Genomic DNA, 20,315 nt, shown 5'->3' with positions numbered 1-20,315 from the left:
GCATGACAAGTGAGCTCCTTTTGGTGGTTTTAAAAGCTGACGCAGAAGCCACTTGGCTCTTGTTCAGGCCCGTCTCTTGCCAACACAACCGACTGGCTGGGCTCCTCCAGACCCCAGCACCCCGCCAACGCCACGCAGGCTTTGCAGCACCTCCTGTGGGCAAGGGGTGGAGGGCAGAGGGGGGGAACACAGGCCAGGTGCTTCCCCTGCCCGGGAAGCAACAGGTGACGCACCGGTGTCCAACACAGATTCTAGGTGCTACCCTATGGCTGCCACAGTGACCAGACACTCACAGAGCAGGGAGGGGACAGGACACAAGGGCCTGAACCACAAGGCCAAGGAGAGAAGGAGATGAGGGACCAGAGCCGGCTTCTGTCCAGGTGTCGGGGTGGCAGGTCCACGGGGAGAAGGGCGGGCATGGGGCTGCATGGGTGGGGGGAGGGCACCGGCAGGGTATGGGGTCACAGGTGCTTTGGGTGCTCAGTGGGGAGCCTCTCCGAGGTTGGGGTGGCCCAGGTTTGGAAGGACCTTGATCCCTAGGCTGAGAGGCTGCTGAAAGGGGGTTCTGAGCCCAGAGGGACATGCACTAGGGTGGCGCGTCCCAGTGTGGCCCCTGAGGCGCTTCATTCTCCAGCAGAGATGGTACAATTATTGGCTCTGTTTTGCTGAGAGGGAGATGACTTGCTTCGCGCTGCTGTGTCACTGGGGCCCAGGAAGCCGCCAGGCCTGGCTCCAAGAGGGCAAAGCTGCCCTGACCTCCTCAGGGGAGGAGCTGGGGAGCTGCTACACACACCCACCCCCGCACCCTCCAGGCCAGTTCAGCTGCTGGGGCCATGGTGCCCTGCATCCCCAAGAAGAACCAAGGGCCTCACTCTGCCCCGACTGCCTTCCAGAGGACCAAGAGCAATGCAGAGCCCTCGCCCTGGGCAAGACTCGGATGCCCAAGACCACCCTAACCGCCTTGGAGGTCTTCTCTTCCCCCGACCCCGCTCTTCCCCCCAATTTTGCACATGGGGACTCTGAGTCCCCAGAAGAAGGGAGGAGCTTGCCCATGCTACCCCGTGTGCTGGGCCTCGCAGCCCTTCCAAGCCTCAGAAGCTTCCAGCAGTCTCTGGAGCCCAGGGAGGCTGCCGCCCAGCCCTCGAATCTGCTTTGGAGCAAGGATTAGTGTCTGTGGGGGGTCCGCACCGCCTGCCTCCAGCCTGCTGTCCTCAGGAAGCCCTGGAGCTGCTTTGTCAGGGAGCCACTCGATGGGAGCCTTGGGGGGCAAAGGACTAACAGGATTTCTCGGCCCTGCCACGCCTGCGATTACCCCCTTTGGTGTCTGAAGAGGAATTAGCACAAGTCCCCTCCCATGGCCGGGACGACCAGCCTGAGCTACTCTGAATGGCTTTTCCTTTTACAGTCAGCCTTGCTCCTAGCTCAGCTGGATTTCGGTCCAGCAGGCAAAGGTGCTGGACAGACAGCCTGGCCAGACAGCCAGCTCTCGGGGCCAGGCAGCCCTCCCCACACTGCTGGGGGCCGTGCTGAAGTGCAGAACCAGTGAGGCCTGCTAAGCACTTCGGGTTAAATCCGCGTCCATGAGGCCCAAAGTGAGCACCGTGGCAGCACCCTTCTTCCTTCCACTCCAGATCCAGTAGCAGGGCCTTCTGTGAAGGCTGCTGTCGGCGTCAGGAGGCAGGTCGGATGTCCCGTGTACCTGCCAAATGTCCTTGCTATGTTGGGTGAACGAAGCCCTCAGTGGATGCTGCCGACTTGGAACGAGCCTGAATATCCCTTTCAGGTGGACACTCTCATCGATGTGCTGGGTCTGCTGGGTGCTGGCAGGCGGTGCCCACAGCGCTGGGACTGCCCCCCAGCGTGTTCTCAGGCCTTTGTCTGGAGCTGCCAGTGTGTCCTGGGGAGAGATCCACACTGTGGCTACCTCCAAGGGGACTGAGACTGGCCCCCACCGGCCTCAGTTAACTTTTGGCTTCTCCCCTCTGAAATGGAACTCAGAGGGCAAGGCCTCCATGCCTCAGTTACCAGCACTCTCCAGGGTATGCCAAGACAGGTTGGAGCCCCATGGAGGCCTCAGTTCCCAGCACTCTCCAGGGTATGCCAAGACGGGTTGGAGTCCCATGTGATGAGAGAATTGTGGTTTGGCCAGTGGGAGTGGGCAGATCTGGGCTTCACTACCTCCTGGCTGTGTCCTGGGACAAGTCACGGCCCTGAGCCTCAGCCTCCTCACCTGTAAAATGGGCACCACTAGTGGCACCTCCTGGGGAGTTGTAGGGCCAAAAAGCAGGGCGCAGCGCACATCTGCGGCAAATCATGTACTTTTGCTTTAAGAAAATTAGAATTTGACTGTGGGAAGAGGGGAGGAAGACTCCCAGGCATGCCCCAGATTTCATCTGTGTGGCAGAGAAAGGAGGTCGACTGTTCTCCTTCAAGGCGTGTGTCCCAGACCTCTGAGCCGGCCTCCCCGGCCTGTGCCTTTGCCAGGGCCTCTTTAGGAGAAGGCACTCCTTCTGACAGCAGAGGGCCCAGCCCTGCGCCCAGCCAGCAGCTCCAGCGAGAACAAGCAGACACCAGTACCACTTCCACGTTAGCCTCGAGCCAGCTGTCTAGATGCTTACCAAGAGCTGTCCCGGTCACAGTGGCAGGTTCCCGGCCACTGGGAAGCCACAGCTCTTGGCAGCAGTGAGACCTGTCCTGCGCTTTCCACGCTTCCATAGATGAATCGTGTGCCCATGAGCCTGGGCAAGGCTCTCAGCACCTTCAAACCCCCTTTCCTCATCTGTATAATGGGGCAATAAAGTCTCTGCAAGGACCAGAGTGAGGAGGAGACCAAAGCACTGTGGGTTGTGCTACCACTGTGATTACCAAGTGCCAGCCTAGAGGAGGAGGGGACAAAGATTCCCAAGTGAGGAGAAGGACAGGACTCATGTCAGCCATGAGGACCAAGACTGCTAGTTCATGCAGGAAGAAACGGAGGTCCAGAGAGAGGAATGGACTCTGGCACCATGTGGGTTGGACCAGCGGCCTGGAGCAATGACACAATGGGTATGACAAGACAGGGCTAGCTAGTCATGCCACAGCAGCAGAGAATGAATGGACAGAGAGGGTCAGGCTGCAAGCAGGCTTGGGGCAGGCAGTGTAGATTCCCCACAGGCACTAATCCCTGCTCCAAAGAGGAGTCAGGAGCTGTTGGAAGCTTCTGAGGCTGGGAAGGGCTGCTGAGAGGAGGCTGGTGAGGTCTGAGATGTTGGGGCAGAAGGAGCCCAAGGGAAATGGGGCTTGTACAGGAATCCATGGTATTACCCAGCGCTCCCATAGCAGGCCAGCACTGCAAGAATTCACCCAATCACGGGCCTATTTCTGCCCTAGTGCCTGGAAATGGTATCATATCTGTGGCCTCTGGATCCAGCCTGCCCTCTCCAAAAATAGGGAATAAAATTGCGATTGAAAAATGGCCCTGCATGTCAACATGTGTGGGATGCAGCTAAAGCAGTGTTTAGAGGGAACTTTATAGCATTAAATGCTTATATTAGAAAAGAAGAAAGATCTAAAATCAGTGACCTGAGGTTTCACCTTAAGATGACTTAAAAAAAAAAAAAGAGGCTGGGTAAAGTGGCTCATTCCCACAATCCTAACACTTTGGGAGGCAGAGGAGGGAAAATAACTTGAGCCCAGGATTTCGAGACCAGCCTGGGTAACATAGTGAGACCCTGTCTCTAAAAAACCTTTTAAAAATTAACCAGGCATGGTAGTATGCACCTCAACTCCCAGCTACTTGGGAGGCTGAGGTGGGAGGATCATTTGAGCTCAGGAGTTAAAGGTTGCAGTAAGCTATCATCATGCCACTGCACTCCAGCCTGGGTGACAGAGTGAAACCTTGTCTCAAAAAAACAAACAAACAAAAACAAAAGGAGTAAACTAAGTCAGAAGTAAGTAGAAGGAAGGAAATAATAAAGATAAGAGCAAAAAATCAATAAGTAGACCTTTGAGAAAGTTGAGAAAGGCAAAAACTGTTTCTTTGGAAATAACAAAATTGATTAACCCTTAGTTAGAATGGTCAAGGAAAAAAAGAAAGAGTACGAAAATCATCATTTTCAGGAATGAGAAAGTGATTGTTATCACAGACCCTATAAACATCAATAAGATATATGGGAATACTAAAAACAACTTGTGCCAAAAATATGTCAACGTAGAGGAAACTGTATTATTTCTTGAAAAAGACAACTTACCAAAATCAACACAAAAGGGAACAGAAGATATGATCAGCCCTACAGCGATTAAAGAAATTGAATTTGTTATCAGAAATCTTTCCAGAAGAAAACTCCAGGCCCAGATGGTTTCACTGGTGAATTCTATCAACATTCGAGTCTTTTATTAAACATTTAAGAAAAATAGATTTTAAAAGTATAATAAGATCTTTATCAAAATGTTAACAAATTAAATCCAATATTAAGTTAAAAAGGTGATACCTCATGACCAGTGGGATGCAATGTTGATTTAACATTCGAAAAACAGTCAATAGACTTCACCATATTGACAGATGAAAGGAGAAAAATTATAGGAAAATATTATTTTAAAAGATTCAGAAACACCATGGACAAAATTCCACATCCACTTATGCTAAACACATTTAGAAAACTAAACATAGTAGGAAACTTCCTCAAACTGATAAAAAGAATCTACAAAATAAAAGCAGAACAACCTGACAGCAAACATCATATTTAACAGTAAAAAACTGACTTGTTTTCCCCGAGACTGGGAACGAGCAAGGATGTTCTCTTGCCACTTCTATTCGACATTGTACCAGGGATCCTAGACATTGCTATAAGCCAAGAAAATGAAATAAAATACGTAGAGCCCGGAAGAGAAGTAAAACTGTCTCTATTTGCAGATGATATAATTAGTGATTTATGTAGAACATCCCAGGGAATGCACAAAACAACAATCAAAACCAGTAAATGAATTTAGCAAGGTCACAAGACACAAGGTTAATATTTTTAAAATATATTTTATTTCTATCTGTTAGGAGTAAACAATTGGAAAATAAAATCTTAAAAATTCCACTTAAATAGCACAAAAAAAGTAAAATGCTTAGGTGCGAATCTAACAAAGATTTATATATTTATATCTAATATATAAATTTATATATTATATACAATATAAATATATTGATATTTATATTTATATAAATATAAATATATTGATATTTATATTTATGTATTTATATCAATATATTTATATCAAATATATAAATTTATATATTTATATGAATATATAAATTTATATATTTATATAGAATATATAAATTTACATATTTACATAGAATATATGAATTTATATATTTATATAAATATATAAAGAACTTTTAAAGCACAATTGTAGGAAGACCAACCAATTTGTCCAGGAATGCTGTACTGAAAAGAACAAGACAGTACTGAGAAAAGAGTCAAGAAGCACAAGTAAATATAGACATACCATGTTCATGGAGTAAAGGGCTGAATATCAGATAAAATGACAATTTCCCCAATTTGATTCAATACAATCCCAATCAAAACGCCAACAGGATTTTTCATAGAAATTGACAGTCTAATTCAAAAATTTATATGAAAATGCAAATAATCTAGAATAGTTGGGCCGGGTGTGGTGGCTCACACCTGTAATCCCAGCACTTTGGGTGGTTGAGGTGGGCAGAGCACCTGAGGTCAGGAGTTCGAGACCAGCCTCAACATGGAGAAACCCCTTCTCTACTAAAAATACAAAATTAGCCGGGCGTGGTGGCGCATGCCTGTAAACTCAGCTACTCGGGAGGCTGAGGCAGGAGAACTGTTTGAACCTGGGAGGTGGAGGCTGCGGTGAGCAGAGATGGTGCCATTGCACTCCAGCCTGGGCAACAAGAGTGAAACTCTGTCTCAAAAAAAAAAAAAATAGAATAGTCAAAGCAAATTTTTAAGAGAACAAAGTTTGGAGGATTTATCCTGCTTGATTTTAAGACTTTCTATAAAATCACATTAATCAAGACAGTTTGCTATTGGCTATATATATACACACACACATATGTCTACATACACACATATACATATGTAGGTATAAAATAGGAATAGAATATATTAGAGCCTAAAAACAGACCCACATATATTCAATCAATTATTCACACAGGTGCCAAGGCAATTTGATAGAAAATTTGTTGAAAGCAAAGCTTTCAACAAATGGTGTTGTGTCAACTAAATATCCACATAAAAATTAAATATCCACCCTTACATGAAATACAGAAATTAACTTGCAGTGGACCATAGAACTAAATGTACACCTAAAATTATAAAATCTCTAGAGGAAAATATAGAAGGAGAGCTTTGCAATTTCTAATAAAGGACTGTGAGCTAGAATACAAAAATCATGACACTTTTTTAAAAGGTAAATTATACTTCATCAATATTAAAAACTTTTTTTCTACAAAATATACCAGTGAAAATAAAAACACAAGGCACATATTGAGAGGAAATATTTGCCAGACATATATCACACTGAGGAGTTTTTGTTTGTTTGTTTGTTTGTTTTTGAGACAGAGTCTCGCTCTGTCACCCAGGCTGAAGTGCAGCGGCACGATCTCAGCTCACTGCAACCTCCACCTCCTGGGTTCCAGCAATTCTCGTGCCTCAGCCTCCTAAGTAGCTGGAATTACAGGTGCCTGCCACCACACCCAGCTAATTTCGGTATTTTTAGTAGAGACAGGGTTTCACCATGTTGACCAGGTCCTGTCTTGAACTCCCGATCTCAAGTGATCTGCCTGCCTTGGCCTCTTGAAGTGCTGGGATTACAGGCATGAGCCACTGCATCCGGCCCCACACCAAGGACTTTTATCTAGAATATATAAAGAACTTTTAAAGCACAATTGTAGGAAGACCAACCAATTTTTAAACAGTCAAGAGATTTGAACATACATTTCACAGAGGAAGATATATGAACGGCCGATAAGCACACAGAAAACACTCAACGTTATTACTCATTATGGAAATGGAAATTAAAACCACCATGGGATATCACCACCCACCCACTGAAATGGCTAAAATCAAAGGCTGACTATTCCACATGGTAGGGAGGATATAGAGCAACTGGAACTCTTCTACACTGGTCATAAGACTATACAATGGTATTATCACCCTGGGGAAAAAATGGTATTTTTTTTAAAGTTAACTACCCATCTTCTATATGACCCAACCATCCACTGCTAGGACACATGTTCTCAGAAAGACTTGCATGTAAGTGTTCATAGCAGATGCCCTCAGAGTGGAGCTTTTCTCCCCTATTCCTGCAACATGTCACCAAAGGAAGCAAGATGGGAGGCTCTGTGGGCCCTGGAGATTCCAGCTTTGGTTTTGCTACTTGTTAGCTGTGTGTCTTCCCCTCTCCAATTCTTCACTTCCTTGGCTGTAAAATGGGGAGGATATAAGAGCCCACCTGTTCGGCTTTGATGTATCATAGAGGGAGATCAATGGCTCAGTGAGCAGCAGCTCCCAAGATTGGGAGTGGGGAGCCACATTGGACACCACTGGTGTGGGCGCTCATGGTCTCTGCTCCCATTGTGTCTGCTCCGGTGGTGTCTGCTCCCTTGGTGTCTGCTCCCGTGGTGTCTGCTCCCATGGTGTCTGCTCCCATGGTGTGGGTTCCCATGGTGTCTGCTCCGGTGGTGTCTGCTCCCATGGTGTGGGTTCCCATGGTGTCTGCTCCGGTGGTGTCTGCTCCCTTGGTCTCTGCTCCCATGGTGTCTGCTCCCATGGTGTGGGTTCCCACGATGGTGTCTGCTCCCGTGGCATTGGCTCCTGTGGTGTCTGCTCCCATGGTGTGGGCTCCCGTGGTGTCTTCTCCCGTGGCATTGGCTCCCATGGTGTCTGTTCCATGGTGTGGGCTCCCGTGGTGTCTGCTCCCATGGTGTGGGCTCCCGTGGTGTCTGCTCCCGTGGCATTGGTTCCAGTGGTGTCTGTTCCATGGTGTGGGCTCCCGTGGTGTCTGCTCCCATGGTGTGGGCTCCTGTGGTGTCTGCTCCCGTGGCATTGGCTCCCATGGTGTCTGTTCCATGGTGTGGGCTCCAGTGGTGTCTGCTCCCATGGCATTGGCTCCAGTGGTGTCTGTTCCATGGTGTGGGCTCCCGTGGTGTCTGTTCCCATGATGTGGGTTCCCACGGTATCTGCTCCCATGGTGTGGGTTCCCATGGTGTCTGCTCCTGTGGTGTCTGCTCTTGTGGTGTCTGCTCCTGTGGCATGTGTCCCTGTGGTGCAGGTGCCGTGGTGCAGCCATCCGTGGTGCAGGTGCTGGGTGAAGGCAGGAAGAGAGTGCATTAGCAGAGCAAAGGAGCAGGGCAACCATACAGACTTGGACAGTTTTGGGGTGCCTAAGAAGAGAGTCTATGGTCCGGGAGGGACAGGCTGTGTGGTCCAGGGCTCAGAACCAGAACCCTGGAGGGAATTCTGGTAGAAGCTCGAGCTGTCAGTGCTAGGTACAGCTGGAGTGAGAGGCAAGAACACCCATACCTAAGAGTATGTGAGTTGGGGGCCTGGGGGCAGTCAAAAATCAAAATCACTGGGATCCCAGGTCCCAGCATCGACGTACCCTCCACGGTCCTCACCCGCTCAAGGTCTGGCTCTATATCCGGGCCACAAGCAGCTCCTGTAAGTCGTTAAAAAATGTTCCTGTCCCCCAGGAAACAGCAAGCAGTGGGCTGTACTGGGTTCCCTGGCCCCGTATCTAAGCCTTCCCGCATTTGGCTGCATTTTCTTTCCAAGACCGCTCCCCCTGCCACCCCAACACCTAAAATACAATTAGTTATTTGTACTGGGTGTGTCTGCTCAGAGAAGACTTTGAACTTCACCCGATGTGGGTGGGGGAGTTAATCACTAAAAGGAGCGGGATTCAGTTAGCTCAAGATCAATGGGCTGTGCTCCATGCCATAACCAAACTGAGCCCTCTGAGGAGGAAAAGAGCTTCAGAAAGCACCCTGCCTTGTAACCATAAACCCCTCAATTTCTTATGGGGTGATCTTGGGAAGAGGCAGGGGGCATGGGCTTGCGGATCAGGCAGACCTAGGTTCAAGTTCTGGCCCCAGGAGTATGACTTCAGTCCAGTCCCCAAAGCTCCAAACCCCCAAATTCTCATCTGTAAATGAAATGTGTGGGAGAGGAAGTCCTCCTCCCCCAGGGCAGTTCTGGGGCAGGCAGGCTGCCCTGTTCCCACTCCGACCCCTCTCCACTGCCTGTGCCCCTTTTCCTCTCAGGGCAGCCCCGGGCAGCCAGGGCCCTGTGGTGACTCCCCATTGGCAGGCCTGGCAAAAGAAAGTCCCCAGCTGTGGGTAGCATGGGGACCCCTGGGGCTGCTGGGTGGCACCCTCCAGCCTGCCTCATCTTCTGGGGCTGCCCTGCTCTGGAGTGACCATACCCCACCAGGGCCCCAGGGCAGATCTTGGCTCACTTTGTGCTGGGGCCACACATGGCCTTCACGGCCTTTCTTCTGTGGCTTGGTACAGCTCTGCTAGTGCCAGCCTCACAACACGCCTGCCTCCCCCATGCTGAGAAGTCAGAGGTCTGGATGGCTCTTTGTTTAAAGAAACAACCGCAGTTTCCAGCGGACCCCATAGCAGGACAAGGCCCAGGTCGGAGCTCAAGCCTGTAATGCTCAACCAGGCGGCCACGGCACTTGTCCAGGAGGTGGCTGAGGCCAGAACCATCAGACCCACTGTTCTGGTGCCGACTGTCATGGAACACATTGCCCCCAAATTTAGTAGCTCCTGGCAGCCATTTCATTACATTTCACAATTGCGTAGGTCAGGAATCCCATGGGGTCCACCCAGCTGCTTCTGCTTCATGAGGTGTAAACGAGGCTCACTGGGTGGTATTTGCTGGCAGCCAGCTGGTCTGGAGGCTCTAACAGGGTTGTCTGCACGAGTCTGGCTCCTTGGCAGCATGACTGGAAGGCTGGGCTCAGCTGGGACTGTCACCCAGAATTCCTGCACGTGGCCTATCCAGCATGGTGTTCTCGCAGTAAGCCTTCTGTGTCACAGTTCAGGGCTCCCAGAATGTCCCAGAGGCTCAGAGGGGGAGCTGCAAGGCTTCTTCTGGCCAAGCTTAAAAACCATGTGACATCATTTCCACTGTATCCTATTGGTTAAGCAGGCTGCAGAGCCAGCCCAGATTCACAGGGAGAGGAATTAGATCCCACCTCTCAATAGGTGGGAGATTGCTCTGGAAGGGCTCTCTGACAAGTCTATTTCCTTGGCTGGCTGTATAGTGAACCCATGAGAAAGGGGTTTTATCATAACCATAAACATTATCATCATCACCACCATCAACATCCTTACCACCATCATCATCACCATCAACATCATCATCATCATCACCACCATTAACATCATCACCATCAACATCATCATCACCACTACCATTAACATCATCATCACCACCACCATTAACATCATCACCATCATCACCATCATCATCACCACCACCATTAACATCATCACCATCAACATCATCATCACCACTACCATTAACATCATCATCACCACCACCATTAACATCATCACCATCATCACCATCATCATCACCACCACCATTAACATCATCACCATCATCACCATCATCACTACCATCAACATCATCACCATCACCACCACCAGCATCAACATCATTACCACCATCATCACTACCATCAACATCATCACCACCATCACAGCATCACCAACACCATCAACATCATCACTACCATCAATCATCACCACCACCATCAACACCATCACCACCACCAACATCATTACCACCATCACCATCACCACTACCATCTATCATCATCACCATCACCATCACCACCATCACCACCATCAACATCATTACCACCACCATCATCACCACCACCATCAACATCATTACCACCACCATCACCATCACCACCATCAACATCATTACCACCATCATCACCACCATAAACATCATTACCACCATCATCACCACCACCATCAACATCATTACCACCATCATCACCATCATCACTACCATCAACATCATCACCACTATCATCACCATCAACATCATCATCACCACCAACATGGTGATCACCACCATCAACATCATTACCACCATCTTCCTTACCAGCACCATCATCACCACCATCATCGCCACCATGGTCATCATCACCATCATCATCACCCTCATGGCAATCACCCTCACTGTGGGGCACCAACCCTGTGCCTATGCATCTCTAAGGCCAGTGCTGTTAGAATCCCTCTGGAACCAATGAAGAAACCGGGTCACAATGTGGCTTGCCCACGCTGACCCTGAGAGAAGCATTGGGCCCTGAGTATAAATTGGCCTATACCACACCACTGGCCAAGTGGTTACCATTAAAGCACTTGCTCCCCTTGTCTCCCAGAGGCTGCGCTGAGGCCAGCTCACGAATCCTCACCACAGACTGTGAGGAAGGCTTTATTATCCCCAAACAAGAAATGGAGAAATCAGGGCCCAGAGAGGGAGAGCCCGGGTGTGCCTGGAGGCCCAGCCTCTGGAGTCCAGTACTCAGGTCCTACACTGCACAGCTGTCTGAGCTCGGGAGACGACAGGATGGGCTGTGCAGAGCAGCGGCTGGTGGTGCTTTCTACGCTAATCAAGCTAATTGGATAATTGCCACTTCATGGTATTTGGTGTTGACACAACCTTGAGCTGGGCTTTCTAACAGAGGCTTTTATCCGAACCTCTCCAGGAGGCTCCTCTGGCTGGTGAACGGGGCCTCCTGCTCTCCCAGCCAGGGGCACCAGGGTCTCCTTTTCTAGCTGGGGGTGGGGAGACACGGCAGAGAAGAGAGGCCAAACGACCATCGGAGGTCACAAAGCGACCCGTGGATGAGGTGACAAGAGCAGCCCTCATCTGCCCACTGCCTCCGGCTCTGACAACTAAATCACCCCAAAGAGACGTGGGTGATTTCATTTCTATTCCATCTGCAGGAGGGGGAAAAAAATCAATGTTTGCTAAATGAAAAGGAAAGAGATCGGCAGGAGGAAAATGTATTTTCAACTTTTAATAGGGTATTATCGACAATGAGGAGTCAGAAGTGAAGCAGCAGGGCCCGCCTGACTGTGGGGCTCAGCTTCAATGGGGGGCGTGATCGCGGGGGCCGGGGGTCAGGGACAGTAGGGGACAGCGAGGAGAGGGCACACACTGAGGACAACAGACGCCCCTTCTGCCAAGCCCAGGGTGGCCGGCGGCCTGAGTGAGTCCCAGCTCAGTGCCCCCAAGTGGGCAGAGACAGGGGTCCAGCTGGGAGACCAGGGGAACAGGAAAAAGAAGTCAGACGTGGGCTTCTGGAAGAGCCCACGCCCTGCTCAGGGTACGAAGTGCAGGCGGAGGAGGGCTGGGTGGATCAGAGATAGGGCATCCGTAGCAAGAGGCACACGGCCTTCCAGGCATCCTATGGGCTTAGGAAACTTGCACAAGGCATCAAATCCCTGTGGGCCATGTGGATTGGGAAGGGTCTGGTTTTACCCATTCCTTTGCCCTGCTGTCTATTTAGGAAAAATGTTGAGCATCTCTCATGTGCCAGGGGTAGTGCCAGACGCAGAGGACACAATAGTGACTGAGGCAGCGGCTGTCCCTGCCCTGGGGCTGACGGTTTGACAATTAATTACAGGGATAGGTGGTGAATGTTAGGCTGGGGGAAGAGGTGTGACAGCAGAGGGGATGCCTAATTCAGGCTGAGAAGGGAGAAGGCCTTCTGAAGAAGGGGCATGGCATAAGTCTCAGAGCAGCCAAGCAAAAAGAAGGGAAGCATGTTTCCAGCTGAAGGAGCCACATGGTTGAAGGCCCAGATCCAGAAGGGGAGAGGAACGGACCAGGCTTTAGGAGGTCCTGCCATGGGGAGGGGGGCTGAGGACGGAGGTGAGCAGGGACAGGGGTGCTGGCAGAGACGGTGCCCGGGACCTGCCTCACCTAAGCCAGGGATTCTGCACCAGAAGCTCGGATGTGTTTATGTCAGGGCAGGTCTAGATTTGGGAGAGACAGAAAGCCTGTTCAGTCTGCAGGCCTCTTTAAGAAAATGAATACTGGCCAGGCGCCGTGGCTCATGCCTGTAATCCCAACACTTTGGGAGGCCAAGGCAGGCAGATCGCCTGAGGTCAGGAGTTCAAGACCAGCCTGGCTAACATGGCGAAATCTCGTTTCTACTGAAAATACAAAAATTAGCCAGGCGTGGTGGCAGACCCCTGTAATCCCAGCTACTCGGGAGGCTGAGTCAAGAGATTTACTTGAACCTGGAGGTGGAGGTTGCAGTGAGCTGAGATCTTGCCATTGGACTCCAGTCTGGGGCGACAAGAGTGAAACCCGTCTCAAAAAAAAAAAAAAAGGCCAGGCGCGGTGGCTCACACCTATAATCCCAGCACTTTGGGAGGCCAAGGTGGGTGGATCACGAGGTCAGGAGATGGAGACCATCCTGGCTAACATGGTGAAACCCCATCTTTACTAAAAATACAAAAAAATTAGCCAGGCATGGTGGAGGGCGCCTGTAGTCCCAGCTACTCAGGAGGCTGAGGCAGGAGAATGGCGTGAACCCGGGAGGCGGAGCTTCCAGTGAGCCGAGAGCGCACCACTGCACTCCAGCCTGGGCGACAGAGCGAGACTCCGTCTCAACAAAAAAGGATACTAACTTAGGAATCTAAAATTAGGTCTACGGCCTTGCAGGAAGGCCCTGCGACAAGTGAGGTTGCAGAAGTTCCAGCTGTACCACCTTCACAGCAAAGCCCCATCCATCCACACACCTTCACTTCCCGCCATCTCCCCTAAAGCCGTTCTTCGTTTATGGTCCATGCGGTCACCCTCTTGACCATGCTTACAGGGCTTTATCTGCCCAGAGCTAAACTAAGCCTGCCCCATCCATCCCTCGTGGTCCAGCCCTGCTTCCTTAGTTTTGATTCAGCTCTTGGTCACCTGTCACCACCTCTCTGGAGCCTCTGTCAGAGTCTTTCCTTGGGACTCTGCGGGGCAAGGCATTGGTAAACTAGGGTACACGGCACAGGTGCAAGAGGTATTATCTTCATCACGTTAGGTCATCTGTCTGAAGTGGGCCTTTTTACGTATGTTGTCCCAGGAGGCATGAATTTTAAAGTCCTTTCCCCTTTAAATGAAAAAAGAAATTCATTTGAGAAAGCTTAGAAAATTTTTAAAAGTAAAGCATAAGAAACACACACACACAAAAAAAACAAAAATAAATAAAGGATAAGAGACAAAAGAAAAATACCAGTGATCTCACCATGAAGAAATAACCATTATTTGTGCTTTGTTTCATTTCCTGTTAGCCTTTTTTATCATGAATAAATTCATAAATTTTTTTACTTAATTCAGATCATACTATATTTACCACTTTCTACCCTGTTTTTCAATTAAATTATTAATTTAATTTGATTATTTAATTATTAATTATGATTGTACATTTTCCATCAAATTATTAACTTAATAAGTATTTTTCAATTAATTTTCAATTAGGCACATTTTATTGTCCCATTAAATACCCGTAAGCTCTCATTGGTAATGGTAGCAACGGGGTCTGGCAGACAGATTTATAGCAATTAACCCGGCTCCTCCCTAAGATAACTCCTCTGACGAATACCCTTGTCCATACACCTCTGTGGGTTCTGGGCTGTTTTCTTTGCATGACTCCCCGGCCAGGAAACTGTAAGTCAGAGGTGTGTTCACTGCGTCCCCGCAGCCTGGTGAGCTCAGGAAGGGCCTGGCTGCCACCTTTGTGGTATTCTTGAGAGCTATTTGTTGGTGTTTTCTTGAGGATTGGTTTTCAGTTCTTTTATGACTCAGGCCTGTGAACCTTTTCTCATATTCTCACCATCCACAAAACCGATCATAACCAGGCATCCCCCTGCAGACTGACAGAATTTATCTGAGCAGGGTCCATTTGTCAACTGCCCCGTGCCCATTTTTCCCCCTGAGATGCGGTCAGGGTCCCCAACCTCTGGCACCCTCACAGAGAGGAACTGGAGGTGTGCTGGTGAAGGCAGCGTTGGTGATGGGTGCAGGTAAACTGCAAGGCCTGGGCCCTGCCCAAGGCTGTGATAGAAAAGAGGGACTGTTCTCCGCAGGCTTGCCGGGGGAATGGGAGGAGGCAGTGACCTGAGCCCAGAGACACAGGGCAGGGAGGGGACACTGGCAGGGGGTATGATGCAGCTCGCCCAAGGTGACCTCTCAGAGAGGGAGCTGGAGAAATCAATACCCTGACCATACCTGACACGCCTCTCCGAGGCTGGAGGGCTGAGCTCTTCGTTCAGTCCCTAAGGGTCAGCCTCCAAGGCCACAGAGCCACATGGAGGTCAGGGAGGAGGCTCCCAAGAGGCCAAGGATGACCTGTGGCTCAGTCAGCTTTCTTTCTTTCTTTTTCATTTCATTCTCTTTCTTTCTCTCTCTTTTTCCTTCCTTCCTTTTCCTCCCTCCCTCTCTCCCTTCCTTCCTTTCTTTCTTTCTGTTTCTCTCTCTCTTTCCTTCCTTCCTTTTCTTTCTCCTTCCTTCCTTTCTCCCCTCCCTTCCCCTCCCCTCTCCTCCCTTTCTCCCTCCCTCCCTTCTTCCTACCTTCCTTCCTTTTATCTCTTTCTCCTTCCTTTCCCCCCTCCCTTCCCCTCCCTTCCCCTCCCCTCCCATCCCTGTTCTCCCTTTCTCCCTCCCTCCCTTCTTCCTTCCTTCCACTCTTTCTTTCTTTCTTTCTTATTCTTTCTTTCTTTTCTTCCTTTCTTCCTCTCTTCCTTTCTTTCTTTTTGTCTCTGTTGCCCGGGTTGGAGGGCAGTGATGCAATCACAGCTCACTGCAACTTGGGCCTCCTGGGCTCAGGGGATCCTCCAGCATCAGCCTCCCAAGTAGCTGAAACTACAGGTACACACCACCACGTCTGGCTAATTTTTTGTAGAGACAGGTCCTCACATTGTTACCCAGGCTGGTCTTGAACTCCTGACCTCAAGCTGTCCTCCCACTTCAGCCTCCCAAAGCACTGGGATTCTAGGTGTGAACCACTGCATCTGGCCTTTCTTATTGATTTATGAGCACTGTTGATTATGATGGCATTGACCATCCCACGAGCACCAGTGCCACAATCTGCTTCCATCTTTATTGTCCTGTGTGAGCCGTTGTGGGAGGGACAGGTTGTGCGTGGGGACATTTTTGCCTTCAGTACCCAGGTTTGTCAGCTTCCCCGCCTGCTAAAGAGACAGTGTTAGGCAGCTTTTAAAATACTGCCTTGGGCAGACAGATGCCCACAAGATTTGGTGCAGTGTGGGCAATCACCGGGAATTATCATCAATTTATTTGGAAGAACTAAAAACAGCAACAGCAAAGGCTTGAGAGTTTGCACTCACCGACTCCAGAAAGAGTTTATCTTTAAATGTAAACTTAATAAGTTCATGCTTGTAGTAGGCAGATGCCGAGATGGCCCCCAGTGATCCCCACCTCCTGGTGTTCGTGCCCATGGATGGCCCCGCAACCTGTGTAACCAATAGCACGCTGTGGAAATGCCTTGTGTGTCTTCTGAAGCTAGGTCATAAAAGACCTCATGGCTTCTGCCTTGCCCTCTCTCAGGTCATGTGATCTGGGGGAAGCTGGCTGCCATGTAAGGACACTCAAGCAGCTCTGTGGAGAGGTCCACACGGGGAGGAACTGGTGACTCCTGCCAACAGCCAGCACCAGTCTGCCAGAGATGCGGGTGAGCCCCTTGGAACTGGATCTTCCAGTTCCATCAAGTCCTGTTAGCCCAGCCAATATGTTGACTGCAGCCTCTCGAGAAACTCCAAGCTAGATCTGCCCAGCTAAGCTGCTCCCCAGTTCCTGACCTATAGAAACTGTGGAAGATTATAAATGGTTATTGTTGGTTTTATTACAGCCACTACGTGTTGGGGGATAACTTCTTATTCATCAATTGATAACTTGTATATACTCGAATGCAAACCTATGGCACATGTGAGATGAAGGATTGGAATCCACATTCGAGGAATTCAGATGAACCGGTTAGAACACCCATCAACACAGCTTCCACCACAATCTTTGGGAAAAGAGCTCAGGACCGAGGGGTGGGAATTCAAAACTCCATGGAGCCGCCATCCCTTTCTGGGCCTCAGTCTTCCATTTGCAAAATTAAGGAGTTGAGCTTAGAAGGCCTGTTCCAGCTGTGAGCTTCTGAGATTCCAAGACCATCATCCAAGAGTCCTGCCTCACTCCTGACACAAGCTCCCTTCCAGGGGCTGAGCCAGGGCTGCACCTGCACCCCACTTTCAAAAGCACCAGAGAACAGAATGTTGCCCTGGCTGACCACAGCTGCCCTGTATTAGTCAGGGTTCTCCGAAGGAAAAAAAAAAGAACAGGGTAGAGGTATAGAGATGTAGAAAGAGGTTTATGATGGGACTCGGCTCACACTATTATGGAAGGTGAGAAGTCACGTGATCAGCCATCTGTAAACTGGAGGTCCCTGAAGCTGGTGGTGTAGTCCCAGTCTCAGCCCAAATTTCAGAGAACCAGGAACGCCAATGGTGTAGGACCCAGTCTGAGTCCAAAGGCCCAAGAACCAGGAGATCTGATGTCCAAGGGTAGGAAGAGATGGATGTCCCAGCTCGAGACCAGAGAAAAAGAACCCACCTTTCCTCCGCCCTCAGTTCTATTCAGGTCCTCAGTGGACTGGACGATGCCACACTGGTGAGGGTGGATTTCCTTTCCTCAGCTTACTGATTCAAACCCTAATCTCTTCCAGAAGCACCCTCACAGACACGCCCAGAAATAATATTTTGCCAGCTGGGCATCCCTTAGCCTCGTTGAGTTGGCATAAAATTAACCATGACATCCCCCTTAGGGCTTTCTAAAAACATTGAGATATAACTTCCATACCATAAAATCCACCATTTTAAAGTGATCAAGCAGGTGGCTTTTAGGGTGTAGTCAGAGAGTTGTGCAGCCGCCACCACTATCAAACTCCAGAAAGTTTTCATCATCCATCCCCCAAAAAAATTCCATGGCACTGACCGGGCATGGTGGCTCACACCTGTAATCCCAGCACTTTGGGAGGCCGAGGCAGGCAGATCACCTGAGATCAGGAGTTCGAGACCAGCCTGGCCGACATGGTGTGAAACCTCATCTCTACTAAAAATACAAAAATTAGCCGGACGTGGTGACAGGCACCTCTAATCCCAGCTACTTGGGAGGCTGAGGCAGGAGAATCGCTTGAACCCGGGAGGTGGAGGTTGCAGTGAACCGAGATCGCACCATTGCACTCCAGCCTGGGGGACAAGAGCGAGACTTCGTCTCAAAAAAAAAAAAAAAGAAAAAGAAAAAGAAATTCCATGCCCTTAGCCTTCTCCCCCGTCTCTAGTCCCTGGCAACTGTTCATCTCCTTTCTGTCTTCATAGATTTGCCGGTTCTGAACACTTCATATTCATAGGGTCATATAGTATGCTGGCTGTTGTGTCTGGCTTCTCCTATGGAACAGTTTACAGAGTCCATCCACGTGATAGCTTTTCATGGCTGGGTAATATTCCACTTGCCACGCATCCTTGATCCATTCACTGGTGGTGGACATTGGGGCTGCTCCCGTCTTTTAGCTCCTGTGAGCAGAGCTACCCCCACACGCCAGGAAGGGAAAACTTGAGGAACAAGTCTCTTGTTAAGGGAAACATCAATCCCTGTGTTTCCATTTGGATTTGGTTTCATGTGTGACTTGACCTCTTTGCGGACAGCCCTTTGGATTTTCAAAAGTAGTTTCTTTCCTGGAGCAAGAGGCAGGGTCGGCCCAGAAACGTGAGCCGCCATTTCAAGCCCCATTTTCCTGATACTCAAAGGTGTGGTGGGCGGGTCCCCGGTCCTTCCCAGCCTCAGCCTCCCCATGAGGGGTGGGGTTACATGACACTGCCAAAGACTCCAAGAAGCCAAGGGTCAGGGAGGCCCACTTGCCCCTAGCACTGCACAGCAGAGGCCCTCGGGCCTGGGAGGCTGAAGGCCCTGGACTTGAAGAGTGCGGTGAATCCTTCTTGCTGCCCCTCTGAGGGGCTGGGGGCTGGGATGCTGCCTCGGCCTTTCACCGGCTGTTCAATCCCTGCTCCTCAGTTTCTTTATCTGTGAAATGGGGATAATGACATCTGTGTCATTAACAGGGATGTGAATAATTGAGTTGATGGGGAAGGAACACGAGGAGTGGATGAGGAGCCCACTACAGCTTAAATAAGAGATCACATGCATCCTAAAAAGAACAAAGACTCGTGTGGGTGTGCTGTGTGTCCGTCCACCTCTCAGCCAGGGAACGTGGTGGGCTTGGGGGTCCCCTCTGTGGCTCCCACACTAAGGCTGGGCATGGGGCCAGACTCCCTAGCCCCGTATATGGCCTTCTTGACTGCTGGGGGGCCCTACTGGGGCAGGCAGGAGCAGGGGGCAGTTTGGAATTAGGGTCCAGCACCCCAGGAAGCCACAGACCAGGTCCTCAAGGAGACCCCAGGGCAGTGAGCGGGCGCCCTGCCTCCAGCCCCCGCGCGCTCCTCCTCCTGCTGGCTTTGTCCGTCCTGGCTCCAGGCACACAGTGCCAGGCTCAGGGGCCGGGGCGGGCGGGGACAGGCGCCGCCCATCCCAGTTCGGGGCCATCCGTCTTGGTCGACCCTATTAAAATACATTATAAAAGGAAGAAAAGGGTGGGCCAGAGGGTGAACCGGGAGAAAAATGATACCGCAGACGCCTTTGTTTGTCCTTCGTCCCCGAGCCCTGGAACAGGGAAGATGAAAGGGACTTGGGGGCCATGGCTCCTGGGCCAGGGAAGGCGGAGCTCAGTGGGGGGACTGTGGGAAGAAGATGCACCCGCAGACACCGCACCTCCCCTGGGCCTGCCCCCCCCCCGCCACCGGCCTTTGCACCCTCAAATACCACAGCAGCCTCAGCACCAGAGGAGTGCCTGCCTCCCAGCTCCTTACAGAGGCGGTGTCCAGCGCCAAGCCAGGTGGGCTGCAGACCCAGGGCAGGGCTGCAGACTCCAGCTGCACCTCGGGGGAGGGGTGCAAGGCACCGTCCTGCTGGTTTTGCAAAGATGGAGCATCAGAGATGGGTCCCAGCAGCCGGTAGGGAGTGGCGCATGGGCAGCCGGGGTCTGCGTCCTGGTGCTGGGGAAAAGGCAGAGCTGCCTGGAGGTGGGTGCTCCCCAGGAGTCTCCCAGTGCCACCCCCAGGAGACGAAGCCACGTGGCCCATCAGGAAGCGGAACCACACGGTGACACCCCCAGCTCCCCCTCCCAGGTCTAGAACCAGGTCAGGGCAATGCTTTTGTGAACATTTG

This window comes from Homo sapiens, chromosome 9 (assembly GCF_000001405.40).
Source record: "Homo sapiens chromosome 9, GRCh38.p14 Primary Assembly".
Taxonomy (NCBI): domain Eukaryota; kingdom Metazoa; phylum Chordata; class Mammalia; order Primates; family Hominidae; genus Homo; species Homo sapiens.
This window is presented reverse-complemented; position numbering follows the sequence as displayed.